At 36.7% G+C, this 16,657-nt stretch overlaps 1 annotated feature.

Annotated features, from left to right (window-relative positions):
- Positions 8,426-8,585: an enhancer, noted in NCBI's record as "active region_1244". NCBI's record gives its function as "activates an Ori minimal core promoter by ATAC-STARR-seq in GM12878 lymphoblastoid cells {active_cell/tissue: GM12878}" and the evidence as "EXISTENCE:reporter gene assay evidence [ECO:0000049][PMID:35858748]".

A 16,657-nucleotide genomic window follows, 5' to 3' on the forward strand; every position in this document is an offset into this window, starting at 1 on the left:
AGAGAATGTTTATGTTAGAAAAGAATAGAAAAAGGAAACGGTGAGTTAGGGGTGTTCATAGTCATTAGTTTGGGGAACTGAGACAGTTCTCCTTCATGATTTCTGTTTTCTGTGTAGTGTAAAAGGCAAAGTCATTTCTCAAAAGTGGGGAAAGATGACAAGGTCAGAAGTCTGGGCAGACTAGAGAAGTCCTGAAATCACTGCTGAGGAGAGGGCGAGGGAGATGATTAGGGGAGGCTTAAAGGAACAGCTTAGCTGGGATGAACATCCACCAAGCCTGGACTAAATGAGATCATGTTTTCAAGTCTTCTAGCCTCATATTGGGCATAGAATGTGTGCCCAGTAAAGATGAGTCTCTGCTGTCACTTTTATCATTTGAAATCTTTGGACAAATTTGTTACATCTATAACATTAGACAAATTTTCAGACACAATAGCTCAGCAACAATTTTTTAAAATCTCTGTTGAATTACTCCCAATGTGAGCTTTGAGTATACCAGATTGAAGGAGAAAATGGTTTGTACAAAATTATTTTAAGAAGATAAATGGGAGAAAGGGTCTCCCATATTTACAGAAAACAATCACAATCATTTCCCAGCACTCTTATGAGATGTTAACAGATAGTCTGTTTCTGTTTCGAGCTTTTGTGCCCTCAGCAGCCCTGCTTCAATTTGTGTGTTCTCAGCCATCTGCCTCCTGTCTTTCTCCCATTACTACAGAAAAGGGCTAGAAAATTTCTATTTTGAAAAAGAAACATTTCTTTTATCTCATGTTTATATGTCATATTTATATAGCATATTTAATATCTCACATTTGTAGAATCATATTTATCAGTGCAAACTTAGCACTATTTGATTATCCCTGAAAACAATAATTAAGTTTAGTCAATAATCTTTTTAAGGGCCAGTGTGTTAACTGTCAAGACTGCCTAACAGAATTTGAAAGAAGGTACCCTAAGTGGCCTTTAGCAGTAATTACCTTGTCTTAGGCTGTGTCCTGAGAGCATAGGCACAAGGTGTTTTCCCATTACTCATTACTTACATTCCCCTATCGCATAACCATATCTCAGTCCCCTTTCACCTTCTGTTGTTTGTCTTTCTCTTTGACCCTTTTCATCAGTGCCAAAGGCTGAGCTGTATTGGCAGAGAAGTTTGTGACAGTCACAAAATAGCTCTCCAAAGGTTAAATAAAGTAACATGGCATAAGAACAGAAGAGGAAGAAAGAGTTATGTCATTGATCTTTCTGTTTTGCCATTTGTTAGGTACCATGTCATATTTTAAGGCTGGATAGAGTGTTTGATGAGGACTTTGATTTTTACTTAGAGTGAAATGAGATACCACTGAGTAGAGAAGCAACACTATTGCTGGCAGAGAATAGTGCCAGAGACAAGACTGTAAGCAAGAAGAACAGCAGCACTGCAATAATTCAGAGAGGGGATGCTGGCTTCACCCAGGGTGATGGTAGTAGAAATGGCAAGAAATGGTCTAATTCTGACATATTTTGAAAGTAAAGCCAAAAGGTTTTGTTGGTGGATTTAATGGGGGTATGAGAAAAAAAAAATAACATTGAAGGGTGAATGTATTTGGACCTGAGAGCTCAGCAATGGGGAGTTGCAATTCACTTAATAAAGAAAACACAGTGGGAGAAGCGCTTTTGCAAGGAAGATCAGGAGTTTGATTTGCAGCAGGTTCTGTTGAGACGGCCATTAGACAACCTAATGGAAAGTTGAGTTGGCAGCTGGATGGATATGTCACAGTTCAAGGGAGAAGTCCAGGCCCAGAATATAAATTTGAGAATAATGAGAAAATAAACAGTACTTAAAGCCATAAGACCAGATGAGTTTACACTGAAGTGAGTGCAACTAGAGAAGGGTTCTGGAGACTATACACTAGTGCATTTCAGCCTTTAAATATTGGGATGGTAATGAAGAATTAACAAAGGAGACTGAGAAGGAAATATTAGAAAAACAGGAGAAAACAAGAAGCTTGTGAGGAATTTAAGTAACTTACTAGTTAATGTAGTATTTGGGAACCAAGCTCAGCAGTCTGGCTACAGGATAGGGTAGTCAGTAGTCTATCTGAAATTAATAGAGATAGTTATACAAAGCAAGAGACAAATAGCTGTCCTTCAGATCAATGCAAGGGCTTTGCAGATTCTAAAAAAGCAAAGAGATTCTGAATTTTTCTCTAATAGATTAGTAATCTTAGCATCTATTTCTAATTAATTTCCTGATGAAGAACATAAATATGTGTGGGTACGAAATGGAGTTACTGGGTATTGGCACTGGCTTTGCCATAAATTTTTGTGAAAAAAATCCTAAAGGTGAGGAAGCACTATTTCTAAAAGAATAATGGTTTCTTTGCCAGATTGAACAAAGACAGACCCATTTTAGTAGCCACTGAAAGGTCTTTGTCTTTTTTTGTTTTTGTTTTGATTTTATTTTTGTACATTAAACATAGATCTCAAAAGCTGGATTTCTTTCCAAAATATCATATGGAGCACTTGCTTTGTATCATTTTGTCTGGGAGAGAGGAGAGGAAACTTCCAACTTCTTGTTTTTCATTATTGCTTCACTGACTCATCTAGTCTTCTTTGAAGAACAACAACAAAAAAAAGAACAGAACAAGAAAACAGCTGAAGCCATGCAAGAGGGAAAAAAAGGAAAAAGAAATCTATATTAATAAAAATAACCACATTCTGCCCAAGTGCTAAGCACTGGAATAATAAAATAAGCATAATTCCATTTCTGGTTGGTTGCTTTTTCCTCTTCTTAACTTGAACAAGTCATGAAATTATGTCATTAAGTGGGGATATCTGCCTCTTAAAAATAACTTGGAGATCATTTTACATGAGTGTGTTTACTGGACTACATCAAGAGATTTGTTGAAATTGCTTTCAAAGTGAAGACAAAATAATTTAGATTTATAAGAGTAAACAGAAATAAATTTTTTAATGGAAGGGAGAGGGGGCAGCATAATGTCTCCCAAGCCATCACCCAATCAGCTAAGCATGAAGAAACTGGGAATTCAAACTTTATGTTTTCTGAAAACAATGTTTAAATAAGCCATTTGAATATCCTCAAAGCATAAAAAAAAGTGTATCCTTTTTTTAAACCATGCCCCTGGGGACTTACATCTCGACTTTCTGATATGGAAATAAAAATAGGTAATCTGTGTTTTTAAAAGTTTATGAAATTATTTCATCTTTGTTACTATAAACACCTAAGATATTTATTCACTGATTCAGATGACAGTCATTTTCCTAGAATGACACTGAAATTTATTTGTGGCTATTGCTCGAGTAACATGCTCAATAACTCGGTAACACTTCATTTCTCTTGATGTGTAAAAAGTTTTCTTACCAGATGAGATCACCCTTTCAACTATTTTCTATTTGTGATAATCCCCAATGCCCTTTCAGTAAAAGTCCTTTCTTAAAATCCTACAATTATATTATAAATTTTTTATCAGATGATTCAACAGGAGGGCTTCTACAAGCCAGCCTGCAGAATGTGCTCAATAACCAGTGGATTGCACAGTTCATGGACCCCAGATTGCTTTCATGCCTAGAAGAAGAGTGCTCACCAGAGGAGTAATGTAGGTGAAATTCTCCCTTAAAGATTATCACATGGGGTTTATCCAGTTGTGGATTAATAGTATTCAACCAACATGGGCTTGATGTTGGGCAACATTTCAAAATGGAGATCTACCAGTAAATGAAATAGTCTCCCAAGGGAACTAATGAGAGTCTAATTGCTTTCCTCATTTAAAACAGGGCCAGACAAAGCCTTTCTGGAAAGAGCCATGATGTTATGCCAAGGTGATGGACGGCACAACTCATGAGGTCTCTTCCATCTGTAATTTTAAGACATGAAAAATAAAGAAACACATTAAAATTAATGCATTTTAGCACATATCCATCTATCACCCCCAAATAATTCATAGCTGAAAGAAAGAGACAAATAACAATTTTTGAAATCTATCACTAATCATAAGAAAGTACTACTCATCAGAAATACTCTTTTAAGAATAGCCACCATCTAACTCACGGCACCTTTGATTAATATTTGGGTGGACTGCCTGAAAGCCAACCTCACAGCTGGCATACCCTCCAAGACTCTATTTAATAACGTAGCTAGTGTTCGTTCAAAAGAAAATAAAAATCATTTCAGCTTTTCACAAGCTCTCTGCCACTGTGGTCATTTCACTTTTTGTTATCATAGCAATATTTCACACAAAACAAAACTCAGATGTTGTTGGATGTAAAATATGTTCAGTGGTTCTCTAAGTGTGGTCTAGCAACCCGAGGGTCCCAAGATGCTTTCAGTATGTCCATGAGGTCAAAACTATTTTCATAAAGACACTAAAACATTATTTGCATTTTCACCCTCATTCTCTAATAATAGGCTACATGATATATTCACAACTATCAGAGAACATATCTAGGTAGATAAAGATATTTATTAAAATACATATCTGTATGAGGCCTGAATTTCTTCATTTGTTTAACCAAAACAACAAATTGCAATAAATTAAATACAGAGGCATATATGAGAATCCGTTCTTTTCCTATTAAGCCAAACAGTAAAGACATTTGCAAAACTGTAAAAGAATACCACTGTGCTCACTTTTTCTGAAAACATATTTTTATTAAAATATGCTATTTAACATGTGATAGTTTATTATCTTAACAAAATAAAAGAGATATGTCTACATTTTAATTTTCAGTACAGTAAATGTCAATAGCTGTATCTCACAGAAAAATCTTCCGTTTTTTAATAATGTTGAAGAATATAATGAAGTTTTAAAACCAACAAGTTTAACAACCATTGACTTAGGAATTTTATAATTTTTAGATTGATTTTATATTATCTAGATAGTAAGTACTGTTATATGTCTGTTTCTCATTTTTTAAGCACAATTTTTAGAATTTTGTCTTTATTTAGCGGCTCCACGTTCTTACCTCCCAATCTTTCTTTAACTTAGTCAAATAGGGATTTTATTCCTCAAAATTCTCCCAAACTACTCTTACCAGGAAATCTATGACCTCCATTCTATCCATGTAGAGATCAATTCTCACTCCTAATCTTAATCACTCTACTAGTCAAGGATTGACCCCTCCTTCTTTATTTACTCATCCTCTAGTTCACCACAGCCTCGGGGTCTTTCTCCTGCCTCCTCCTCCTTCCAGAGCCATTTTATTTGCAGTACTGTCTCCCTTCTCTTTCTGACTGTGGTTTACTTTACATTGCTTCAGGGCTCAGTCTTTGGTCCACTTCTCTATTCTCTATCCTAGCTAAACCCAGGACCTCAACAACTATCTTCATTCAATAACTGTAAGTGTTTCTATTTCCAACCATTCTAAACTCTCAGCTCTACCACCTGCAAGACATTGTCATTTAAATATCTAAAAGGCATCTCAAATCTAAGATGCTTCCAAAAGAACTTTTTATTCTGCCCATCATCCAAATTTGCTCCCTCCTTTTCCCCACTTCATCAAATGACACCACAGCTTTCCCTAACGCTTAAGCCAAAAACCTAGATGTTACTGAGACATCTTCTCTTTCTGTTAGGCCCCACATTCGATTCATTAACAAGTTCTGTGGCCTCTACCTTAAGAATATATCCCAATCTAAAAATATCTTACCAACTCTATATTATTGTCATGCTCCAATCCACTTTTTTCTTTCCTGGACTACTCTAGTAGCCTCCTAACTCATTTCCTTCTCCTGCTTTTGCCATCTTACCATCTCAACTCCGTACCATATCCAGAGTAATCTACTCAAAATGTAAATCAAATACCATCAACCCATCTCCCAACTAAACCTGTAAGCTTGTTCTCCTGACAAGTGATTGGCCATTCCTGCATCCCTACCCTCATCTACAAATCTTCCCTCACTGAATCTGTTCTGTCTATGTTAGTCTAGTTGGTGTTCAGCAAGCATACCAATCTCACCCATCTTCAGGATTTTTATGCTTACTATCCTCTATGCCAATGCTCTGACCCTGGATCTTTGCATGGCTTGTTTTTCAAGATATTATATTAATATAATATTAATAGTTCATGTCTCAACTTATGTGCTATATCTTTGGGGAGTTCTCTATCTTCTCATCCTTCTTTATTTTCTTCACTATACTTATCACTATCTGAAAATGTATGTTTATTTATTTGTTTATTTACTGTTTATTCTGAGCCTTAAGAGGGCAGGGACTTTGGCTTCTTTGCTCTTTCCTTGGTCCAGGAACACAGCCAGAGTCTTAGTAGACATGTAATAAATGAGAATAATAATGATGATAGTCCTAATCCACATCTATTTCCTTCAGTAAGATAGATGCTGCTCACAATAAAACTGTTTTACTCATATTTTTATATGTAGCATTAAGTACTATACCTGAAATATAACATATACTAAATAAGTGATGAATGAAAGTAATGAGTTTAATAATTTAATGCTTAATGGTTTACAAAACACTTTTATATATCCCCAATACAGCTGATAATCAAAATAACCCTAAAAAATAGATAAAACTTCTCCCTACTTTTTATTTGTAAATACATTCCCTGTTTCACATAAATAGTTAGTTAGATGGTCTTCTTCTTTTTTTTATTTATTTATTTTTTTTGGAAACAAAGTTTTGCTCTTGTGCCTCACGCTGGAGTGCAGTGGCACAGTCTTGGCTCACTGCAACATCCACCTCCCAGGTTCAAGTGATTCTCCTGCCTCAGCCTCCCAAGTAGCTGGAATTATGGACGTGTGCCACCATGCCTAGCAAATTTTTTATTTTTAGTAGAGACGGGGTTTCACCATGTTGGCCAGGCTGGTCTCAAACTCCTGACCTCAGGTGATCCACCCACCTCGGCCTCCCAAAGTATTGGGATTACAGGCATGAGCCACTGTGTCCAGCCAGATAGTCTTCTTCTTAAGAGACTGGAAAACTAATTTTTCTAATACTAAATTTTATGCTCTTTTCTTTAGAAATAATGTAATAAATAAGCAGTTAAACTTCATACAAGTTTAAAAAGAAACAACTGGAGCTCAAAATGTATTTTTCTATTAATTATTCTACATTCTGGAATAATAATTTTTATACCAGTTGACTATATCTCTGGATGACTAAATAGTAATAATGAAATGGAGAATAGTGCCAAAATTGAGAAACTAAAATATATTTTAAACTTTACTAAATTTATAGTCACCACTCAGAGAGTGCAAGTGCTCTAACAGAGAAATGTGTTCTTTTCTATGAGATGTGGATTGCTTAAAATCTAGTTGAGCTAGAGCCTAGTTCCAAAAGAATTTGTTCCAAAAGCAACCAGGCATTTTTCAAGTCTATGCAGATTCCCTTTATGTATATATGGTTGGTGGAGGGGCAGTGTAAATATGGGGAGTGGTGATGATGAGCATACTGAATCTCTATACTCATCCCATCCCACTAATGCTTTGAACCCATTAATGTGTTAAATTTGAGCCTCAAAATGACCTACTGAGACAGTAGCTTTCTTGGATGAGATATGAAACATTCTTTGCCTGCTTTGATCATTGAAGATAGTCTTTTCAGAATCTGAAAAATTCATTCAGTTTATCTTATAAGATACATCTCTTAGGGGTAGCTTTGCCAATGATGAAATAATAGCATCATCCCTGTTGTGGGTTGGGGACATTTAGTCTTGCTTGTATCAAGGGAGGCATACATGGAAGATTTAGCAGCTATAACAAGAACCTTCTTGCCAACTGGGCATTTAGGAGAATATGGCCTGCAATTGAGCCAGAGGGACAGTGTTACCATGCTGAGTGTTTTACTATGATTTATGCATCTGTCTCCTCTCTGTCTCTCTCTCTCTCTTTTTTTTTTATGACTTCCCAAAAACTCAGGTTTTGTTCCAGTGTGTTCACTTTTTGGGAAATGTAGATAAGATTAAATTTCTTAGGCCCAGCTTCATGCAGGATGGATAGAATTCTGACTTGAGCTTTGCTGCAGCATTTATCCTTTGTACATGAGCTTAGGTGCCCTTAAGCATTTGGTACACTTAAAGTAAATCAAACAACAAGTAAATAATTTGAGCTCATCTGCCTGTTACTCAGACTCTTCAATAGGAAGTCCATGTTTTTTAACGTAAAAGCATTAGTGTTCAATGTTTAAATCTTTTGTGATATGTGTCTCCATGGCCTCAGAAACAGGATTTGAGGAGATTATGGAGGTCATGTGGTTTCCTTGATGTCTTCGGAGTGCCAAGGAAGAGAAAGGGAATCAGGATATTACTTTCCACGGTGTGGAACAAATTACATTTTTGTGCAACATTTTTATGAATTTTAATTCGAAAGTTATCTGCAAATCTAGCTTACCTCTTATAAACACGTTTTCAGAAGATAATTACTATTAGTAAGACTGCTGCAAAATACCAAGCAGAATCAGGAAGACAGGTATCTGACTTCAAAGCTATTCTTACTCCTCACTTCCCTTCCCCGAACTCTCAACTCCACCCAAAAGCAAGTCTCTTTTTAAACTCTGAGATTTCGTGCAAGTCTGGAGTCTGGCTCTGACCACAAGGCAGGAAATAGCTCATATGCAGCATCCAGAGAAGAAAGTTACAAGACAAAAAAAAAAGAAAGCCCACACATGCACACACACATTTCTTTTTTATCTGATACTTTACAAAGTTTATTTGGAAGAAAGGTTGAATTGCGCTTTTTGTTTGTTTTGTTTTAAAACTGCCTGTTCCCAAATGGCTGATGAGCATTGAGTTGAGATGAGGACAAGTTGGCTGTTAGCCTGAAGGCTCTTCCTTGTTGCACCCAAAGGGAATTGTAGAAAGATTTGGAATTCTTCAGATCTTTAGCTTAGAGACCATGGGTGGAGCCTACTTGCACAGCATTCAGCTGATGGTTGCTAATTAAATGCTTGCCCAGTAACTTCAACTGGCCAGACTATTTCACAGGAGAGGAAAAACACCCCATGAGGTAACTGCCAGGGAAAGAGGGATGTCTGGCAAAGCTTGCTAGAAACCAGAGGTGCTAGCTTGGAGTGTATTTCTCTCTGAAGAATAAGTGGTAGCCAACCTGGAATCTGGGTCAAATAAAGCATACTTTAAGTCCACCCATAGGAAAAGGACAGAATTGAGAGGAAAAAAGCTAAAATAGTTCTATTAAATTAACGAACGACAATTAAGTAAATAAAGTCAAACAGTTGTGATTTCTAACTTCATAGTTAACAGAAGTTTTCAAACCGATAAATTTAACTCCATTCTAGTTTAGATTGAGGTATGCATAAACACCACTTCTAATCCTTCCACAGTCTGGGACCTTGGCTGGGTCAGTTTCTATTTACACTGGAGTAATTATTAATAGCACCCTCTTCTACTCCCAAAAGAGTCCAAGTTTGGATGATAAATTTTATGTTCATGCTTTCCATGACCAATGCCTTGCAAGACTTCAGATGGTTTCTAGTGATATATTATAATGTGATAATTAGGGAGTCACTGACAAGCCTAGTAAGGCTAATTGTATCAAAACTTCTTAAAAACACAACCAGAGTGAAGAATCCAACAGTGCTTCAGCAATTAGTTGTAGTTAAGTACAAACCCAAAACAAATTAACTCTGTCATGAGATGCCAAAACAAGTTAATAAGTTATCTTAAATTGCACAAACTGAATTCTAATGTCCAGAGCCAAGGAACATATTGCTATCTCTTTTCGTGTTTCTGAATTGTGCCTCAAGAATAGTATTTCTTGCTAAGCATACGTTGCAAGAAGCACTAATAAACTGAAGCACGTGCAGAAAAACAACCACAAGGATGGAAACATTTTAGGAAACTATGGCCTAAGTGGTATAGTTGAAAGAGCTAACAAATGGTGCCCAAAAGGTAAGAAGGCTATCAAGTCCTGCTAGATGTCTTCAAATACTTAAACATCTGTTATATGAAGGAGAGAGCTGATTTATTCTGTAGATCTTCAGGTTAGATAATATGTTAAAGGTAAGCAAAAAAAAATCTATTCCGTACAAGGGAAAACTTTCTTACTAATAAAACCTTCCAAAAATGGAATGAAATATCTTTGGAGGCCATAAACATTGATAGAGGAGTTCAAGCACAAGCTAGATAATGTCTTGATAGGGATATACAATAAATTAATGTACCTCTTAGAAGCTAGAACTAAAGAATCCCAAACTCCTTTCAAATTCTGTATACTATCCTTCTAATGAAATGATGAGTAGGTAATTCAGAAAAATCTCTACCATGGCATTAATCACCATCACCATGTCTATATTTTGAAGAGTATTTGAATTGTTCACACTATCTCTAATTTATAGTAAATACAATAATATTAAGCAATTATTCTCTCTCAGTCTATCAGTTATCAGTACCATTGCCTAGATCTCAGGAGGTCATTAGAACTGTAGGTTCCTGAGCCAGCCCAGCCCAGATCTACTTAACCAAAATTTCTGGGAAGTTCCCAGGAAGTCACAGAAGATACATATTCTGGAATGGTTTACAATCTGAATCTGTCCACCCACTAGCACTTAGTACTCACTGGGAAACTTGGAAACACTCCAAAGTCATTTTTATATTTGGAAGCTAGAAACAGACAATGTTGTCTCAAACATTATTATTAATGTCCCTTGTTTTGAGATTGTACAGGATCCTTTAGGATGCATATGACAAAAACCTTACCAATAAACAAAAAATATTGGCTCAAATAACTCAAAAATTGAAATGAGGAGCTGAATTCAAGCATGATTCCAAGAGCATGCCGTCTTCGGGGTCCTGTTTCTTATTCCTTTCTTGTGTGCTTGTTTCACTCTGCTTGGCTCCTTTTTCCAACTGGCTCTCTTCATGTAGCCATAAGATGGCCACAGTAGTGGCCACCAGCATCCTTACAGCTCAAATACATGGATAAATAGTGCAGATGTTTGAGTAAGAGCTCAGAGAAATCCTGGGGAGGATTCTGATTGACCTGTATTGGATCACATGCCCACCCCTGGAGACACTGGGCTCGGGGTAGTAGTCCCATTGTGACCATGTGGGCTAGCAGAATTATTATAGAAGGATGACTGGGCAACTATATGCTCACTAAAACGGGTAATAAACTGAGCCAAAAAATGGAAGGAAACCACAATAATTTTCTATTTTATTCTGCAACAAGGTGGTCTTTTTCATGATAACACTTAATATCAACTGACCCCAGCTATGAGGTTACATTATAAATTTATAATCTCTGCCAGAAACTATCACAATGCATTATAAAAAAGCCATACCCTGTGAATATAATCCAGTTGGCTCCTATGGATTTGTATTATAAATATGTGACTGTACATTATATACAGCTCATCAGTATATTATACTACCTATTACCCTAGCTTGGAAAGTTCCTGATAGGAATGTCTCTTCATCTTGCACTATTCTGGGCTTTCCTCCAAGTGGCTCATTAATATGGTTGAGTTGCTGATCTAGATTAAAACGTTCTTTCCCTAAAAGACAACAATGAAAGTCCACAGACAATACAAATATCCAGGTATAAATCACACATAATTGAGGTGAAAAGGACTTTTTCTAACCCCTAAGGTTTGGGATTTGGCTTGCTGGTCTAAAGCCAACAGCAGCTGAGCACATAATTCTTTATTATAAAATCCTCAAAAACTAAGGTCAAGATTTAATTCAAATGAAATTATCACTTCTTAGAAGTTCAGTAGATTTTAGTAAACTCGCTTTCTTGATTTTCACATAACTGATTAATTCCCTTTTCAGTTGCTTTTCTAGTTCCCCCATGCCTGCCACCTTTTTATAAATTCCTTTGATAGGTTCATTAAGTTAACTGCTAGTTCTTGCCCTGAACATCTGGCTCTTAGGAGAACCCTGGTTAGCTTCTCCCCCAACAACTTAATTGGAGACAAGGGAATTCTGAGCTACTCTCATTTCAGGGACCTTTAAAAATCCCAAAGAAAGGAGATTTTAATAGGCTTAACTACCTGCTATCAAAGAGAAGTTAGATAATTCTGTCCCCCATAAGAGAAATATCACAAATGTGTTTCAACTTCTACACATCCACTCCAAAACTGAGTTGTCATTAACAAACTAGACAGTAGAAAGATACATATTTTCTGCAGTGGAAACCAGAAGTAAAGAGAAAAAGAGAAAGCGAAGGAAATTTTCAAAGTGAAGTAATGAATATTTTCAAGATAAATGCTCAAAAATGGAATATTTGGCAATACGAGTATCGTCAGCAGAAATAATTAGCTGGAGAATTTATACTCCTATATGCTGTATAATCAGAAAATCTTCCATTAGATTTTTATGGAATGCCTTACCATTATCACCTAAATAGAAAGTAATAACTGATCTCACTATATAACTTAATAAATGCTATTTATCCCTTTTATATCACTTAATGTATTTGCCAAACTATTACTCTTCCTAGTAATTGGTGTTGTTACAAAATCTTGGGGTTGCCAGGGGAAATGGTTTCCTGTGTATGTGGAACGAAATGCTAATATGTTTTCCCTGCTGCCACCTGCAGTTCCCAAGGGATTGGACTTCCAAAGAGAATTCTTTTATGCAGGTGGTGAATATTTTTTTCTTTAATTTATTTGGAAAGGGTCAAAGTCAAGGAGGGGGACTTTTTTTCATTGATCCATTTTCTGTATTTAATTATTTGACTCATGGCTGTGTAATTATCTTTTGGAGTGTTTAACATTAATGTCAAATGGTACTGTATTTCTAAGCCAAATGGAATTTTTATGGGGCCATACAATCCTTATTGGCTTTACTTTTTGTTTAATGGTCATGCTGTAGCAAACAGCAATGTGCGATATGAACAGTTAAACTATTCTCTTAATTATTGCATCTGGTTTACCATATCCTGCCCATCTAGTATGTTTTAATTGAAGGGCAGAAAAGATCTCTAGTTGATCATTGATGGTTTTAAATTGGCACATAATGATAATACTGAGTTCTGGAGGGAGTTCTTCCTAAATCTCAGCATATGTCTTTATGTTAAACAATTAAACCACATCTGGAAAGAGAAAGCAGATCAGTACATTCCTCAGTGGAATCTATGAGAAAACTGATTCAGTGGACTGAATACTTGTTACCAGACCTAGAGAGAGAAAGAGAGAGAGAGGAAGAAAGATAACCTTGAACTAAAGAGAATTTGCAGATTCTTTTAAAAAGGAACAGGTGTTTGAAGGAAAATTCCCACAATGAAATAAATAGTTTTATACTGGCAAGGGCATTTAGGCAATAATGAGGAGATTTCATGCATTTTATGCAAAAGTACCAGGGGGAATTTGTAACAGAAGAATATAAAGACCTTATTTCAAGAAAGTATATTATTATTAGGATTTGCCAAGTCCCATGTATAAGTTAGCTGAACAAGGACCCACTTAGCATTTAAAAGAGAATCTAGATTATGTTTAGAAAGGGTTAATGTGCTCTTCACATTGCCTGAGGCAAATCAAACTAAAAGTTACACTTCGGCACAAATTTCTAGGCGAGAGTTAAGGGGAATTTTATAGGCACAAAGTTGGTTCAGACCCCAGTCTCTTCCTCGGTAGACTACCACCAACTCTGTCTGTCACCCATCTCTAGTATCTCACCTGAAGTCTTCTAACACAAGTCACTGGATGCCAAAAGAGAAGTCTCCCTAAAATAGTCTTTTATCACATCACTTGCCTGCAGAAAATCATCAGTGGCTTCCCATCCCTTTTTTTTTTTGCCTTTAAGAAAAAGTCCAAATTAATGCATCTGACAGTTAAACTCTCCAAAATCTGCTTCAACACTATTTTCCAGGCTTATTTTTCCACTGTTCCCCACAGGAATCCTCTATTCTAGCCTAATCTGTTTATTTAGCTTTATTCCCCAAACGCCTTTTGTACTTTCCTCTTTTAGGGATATTTTCCTTCTCCAGAAGTCTTCTCTTCATTTATTTATTTATTTATTTATTTATTTATTTATTTTTCTTTTGAGACAGAGTCTCACTCTGTCACTCAGGCTGGAGTATAGTGGCACAATCTCGGCTCACTGCAACTTCCTCCTCGAGGCTCAAGCAATTCTCCTGCCTCAGCCTCCCGAGTAGCTGGGATTACAGGCATGTGCCACTACACCCAGCTAATTCTTTTATTTTTAGTAGAATCCAGGTTTCACCATGTTGGTCAGGCTGGTCTGAAACTCCTGACCTCAGTGATCCGCCCACCTTGGCCTTCCAAAGTGCTGGGATTACAGGCGTGAGCCACTGCACCTGGCCTTCTCTTCACTCTTAACTGATATATTTTCCAATTTTAAGGCCCAACTGAGATGGCATCTCTCTAACAAAAGGTTTCCAACAATTCCAGTTTGAAGTGACCATCCCTGCTTACCCAGAATACCCATGTTTGTTACATTCATTTCGTATTTCTTGATCTGTTTCCATTTTTTGTTTCATGTGCAGATGGCTTAAGTACCTAAATGGACTGCATACTTCATGCAGTCCAGAATTTTGTCTTGGATAGGGTTGTGTCCACTTTTCCACAACCACTCTGTATTCTTTCACATAATAGATATACTTTTTTAAGTAACTGACAGTTTCAAAAAGTTGCATTTACTCTTGAAATTAAAGCCCACTTCTGTGGTGAACAATAAATGTGAAATGTATTCTGTATTAGTTTGCTAGGGCTGCCGTAACAAAATACCATGGACTGGTGGTTTAAACAACAGAATTTTTTTTTCTTACCCTTCTGAAGGCTAGAAGTCCAACGCCAAGGTGTCCAAAGATTTGGTATCTTCTGAGGTCTCTCTCTTAGCTTGCATATGGCCATCTCCTTGCTGAGTCCTCACATGGCCTTTCCTTTCTGAACATACATCTATAGTGTCCCTCTCATCTATAGAGGGAGAGACAGACTTTTTCTTGAAGGCAAAAAAATTGGGCAGGGAAGGCCATTGATGATTTTCAGCCGACAAGTGATGTGATAAAAGCCTATTTTAGGGAGACTTCTCTTTTGGCATCTAGTGGCTTGTGTTAGAAGAATTCAGGTGAGATATTAATATCTTCTTTTTATAAGGACACCAATCATTGGATTAGAGCCCACCCCAATGGCTTCATTTTAACTTTATTACCTATTTAAAAGCCCTATCACCAAACATAGTCACATTCTGAGGTACTGAGGATTAGGGCTTCAATGGTGGTGGAGGAGGGGTGCATAATTCAGCTCATAACATAAACTATACAACGGTCTTAATTGTTTATTCTATTGTACCTTCTGCTGCATTTCCAAATAGTTGCACTTGTCAAAAGTTATGAGTAGAGAGACTAAATTTAATGGGCTCCAACACAAAATCAAAATTTATAGAATCTCCCCTTTGAATTATAAATCTAAACCTCTAGAATTTTCATTCTTTCCCCTTTTCTCCTCACTGGACTTATTTCCATGTTTTCTCAGACAACCATTGCTTTTATGCTTCCACTTCAATTCCCCAGTATCGAATCTTAGTTTTAGAAAATAAAGCAATGAAAATTAGAATGTAAACAGTCAACGTGTCAACAGTCCTTTAGTTGCAACCAACAGTAACCCAAACTCCACTTTTTTAAATACAAAGGGAAAGTTTTGACTCACATAACTTAAAAATAAAAATGACAGTGGAATCTAGAAGTTCCTGCGATGGCACTAGGGCCTGGTTTCTGTCTTTCCTTCTCACAGTTTTGCTTTCTTTCACGTGGCTGCATTCTCTGACATCACTCATCTTTTCATGAGAAAAACAAGGGGCTCTGATACCTTAGCATATGTCTCTCCATATTCAATACTAGTGAAAAAATGAGTCACCGTTTCCTGGAAACAATTCTCCCAGTCTGAAGAGTTTTTGTGTTTTTGTTTGTTTGTTTGTTTGTTTTACTATAACAGTTCAGGATATGCTCCCATTCCTAAACCAAGCCCTGCGGCAAAGTTGACAGGAAGTGTTAAGTGTCCAGACTTCGATCACACATGCTGGCCTCTCAATGTGGGTATGGAGCTCCCTCTAAGGCAGAAAGATTGAGAATGGAAAAAGAAATGATTCTCCAAAAGAAAATCAGCATTTTGTTAACAAAAGGAGGGGGAATAGAGACATGGCAGTCAAAACTTAGCAAAATCCCACAGCAACAGCAATGTATAAACTTAAGTCTACTATCCCCATTGATAATGGTGGTGAGATAGCCGCAGGGCAGCAAGAACTCATTAACTATCATGGCAAAGAACACTTTCAACAAAGGTCTTGCCTCGTATCCTGGAAATTATACCACACAGAAGTCAGCCATGTTTAACAGCCCCTGATTTGCCCCACATATAAGAACAAATTCACTTAACTTTCTGGTGCCCCAATTTTCTCAATGTCTCTCTAAAAGCCAGAGTCAGGATTAGGGCTGGAATTCAAGTTATTGAGGATGCCTAGTGAAAGGAAAAAGCAATTTGAAAATGGAAAGCCACATTCAAATTCTTATTAATAATTGTGTCTCTGCTGAGCACATGTAGAGGCAGATAATTAGAATCACATAAAGAGTGATCTCTAATTGGATCCAGATGTGAAGGAGTCAGCAGACATCCACTAAAGGGAAACTGTACAAAATAACAAAGAAACAAATGGAATTGCAATGCGGAAGTTTATGAAGAATGATGGGCTGAATGAGTATAAAGCCTTTCAGGCAGCTTTTAGTGAC

The sequence above is a fragment of the Homo sapiens genome, chromosome 1, assembly GCF_000001405.40.
Source record: "Homo sapiens chromosome 1, GRCh38.p14 Primary Assembly".
In the NCBI taxonomy this organism is placed as follows: domain Eukaryota; kingdom Metazoa; phylum Chordata; class Mammalia; order Primates; family Hominidae; genus Homo; species Homo sapiens.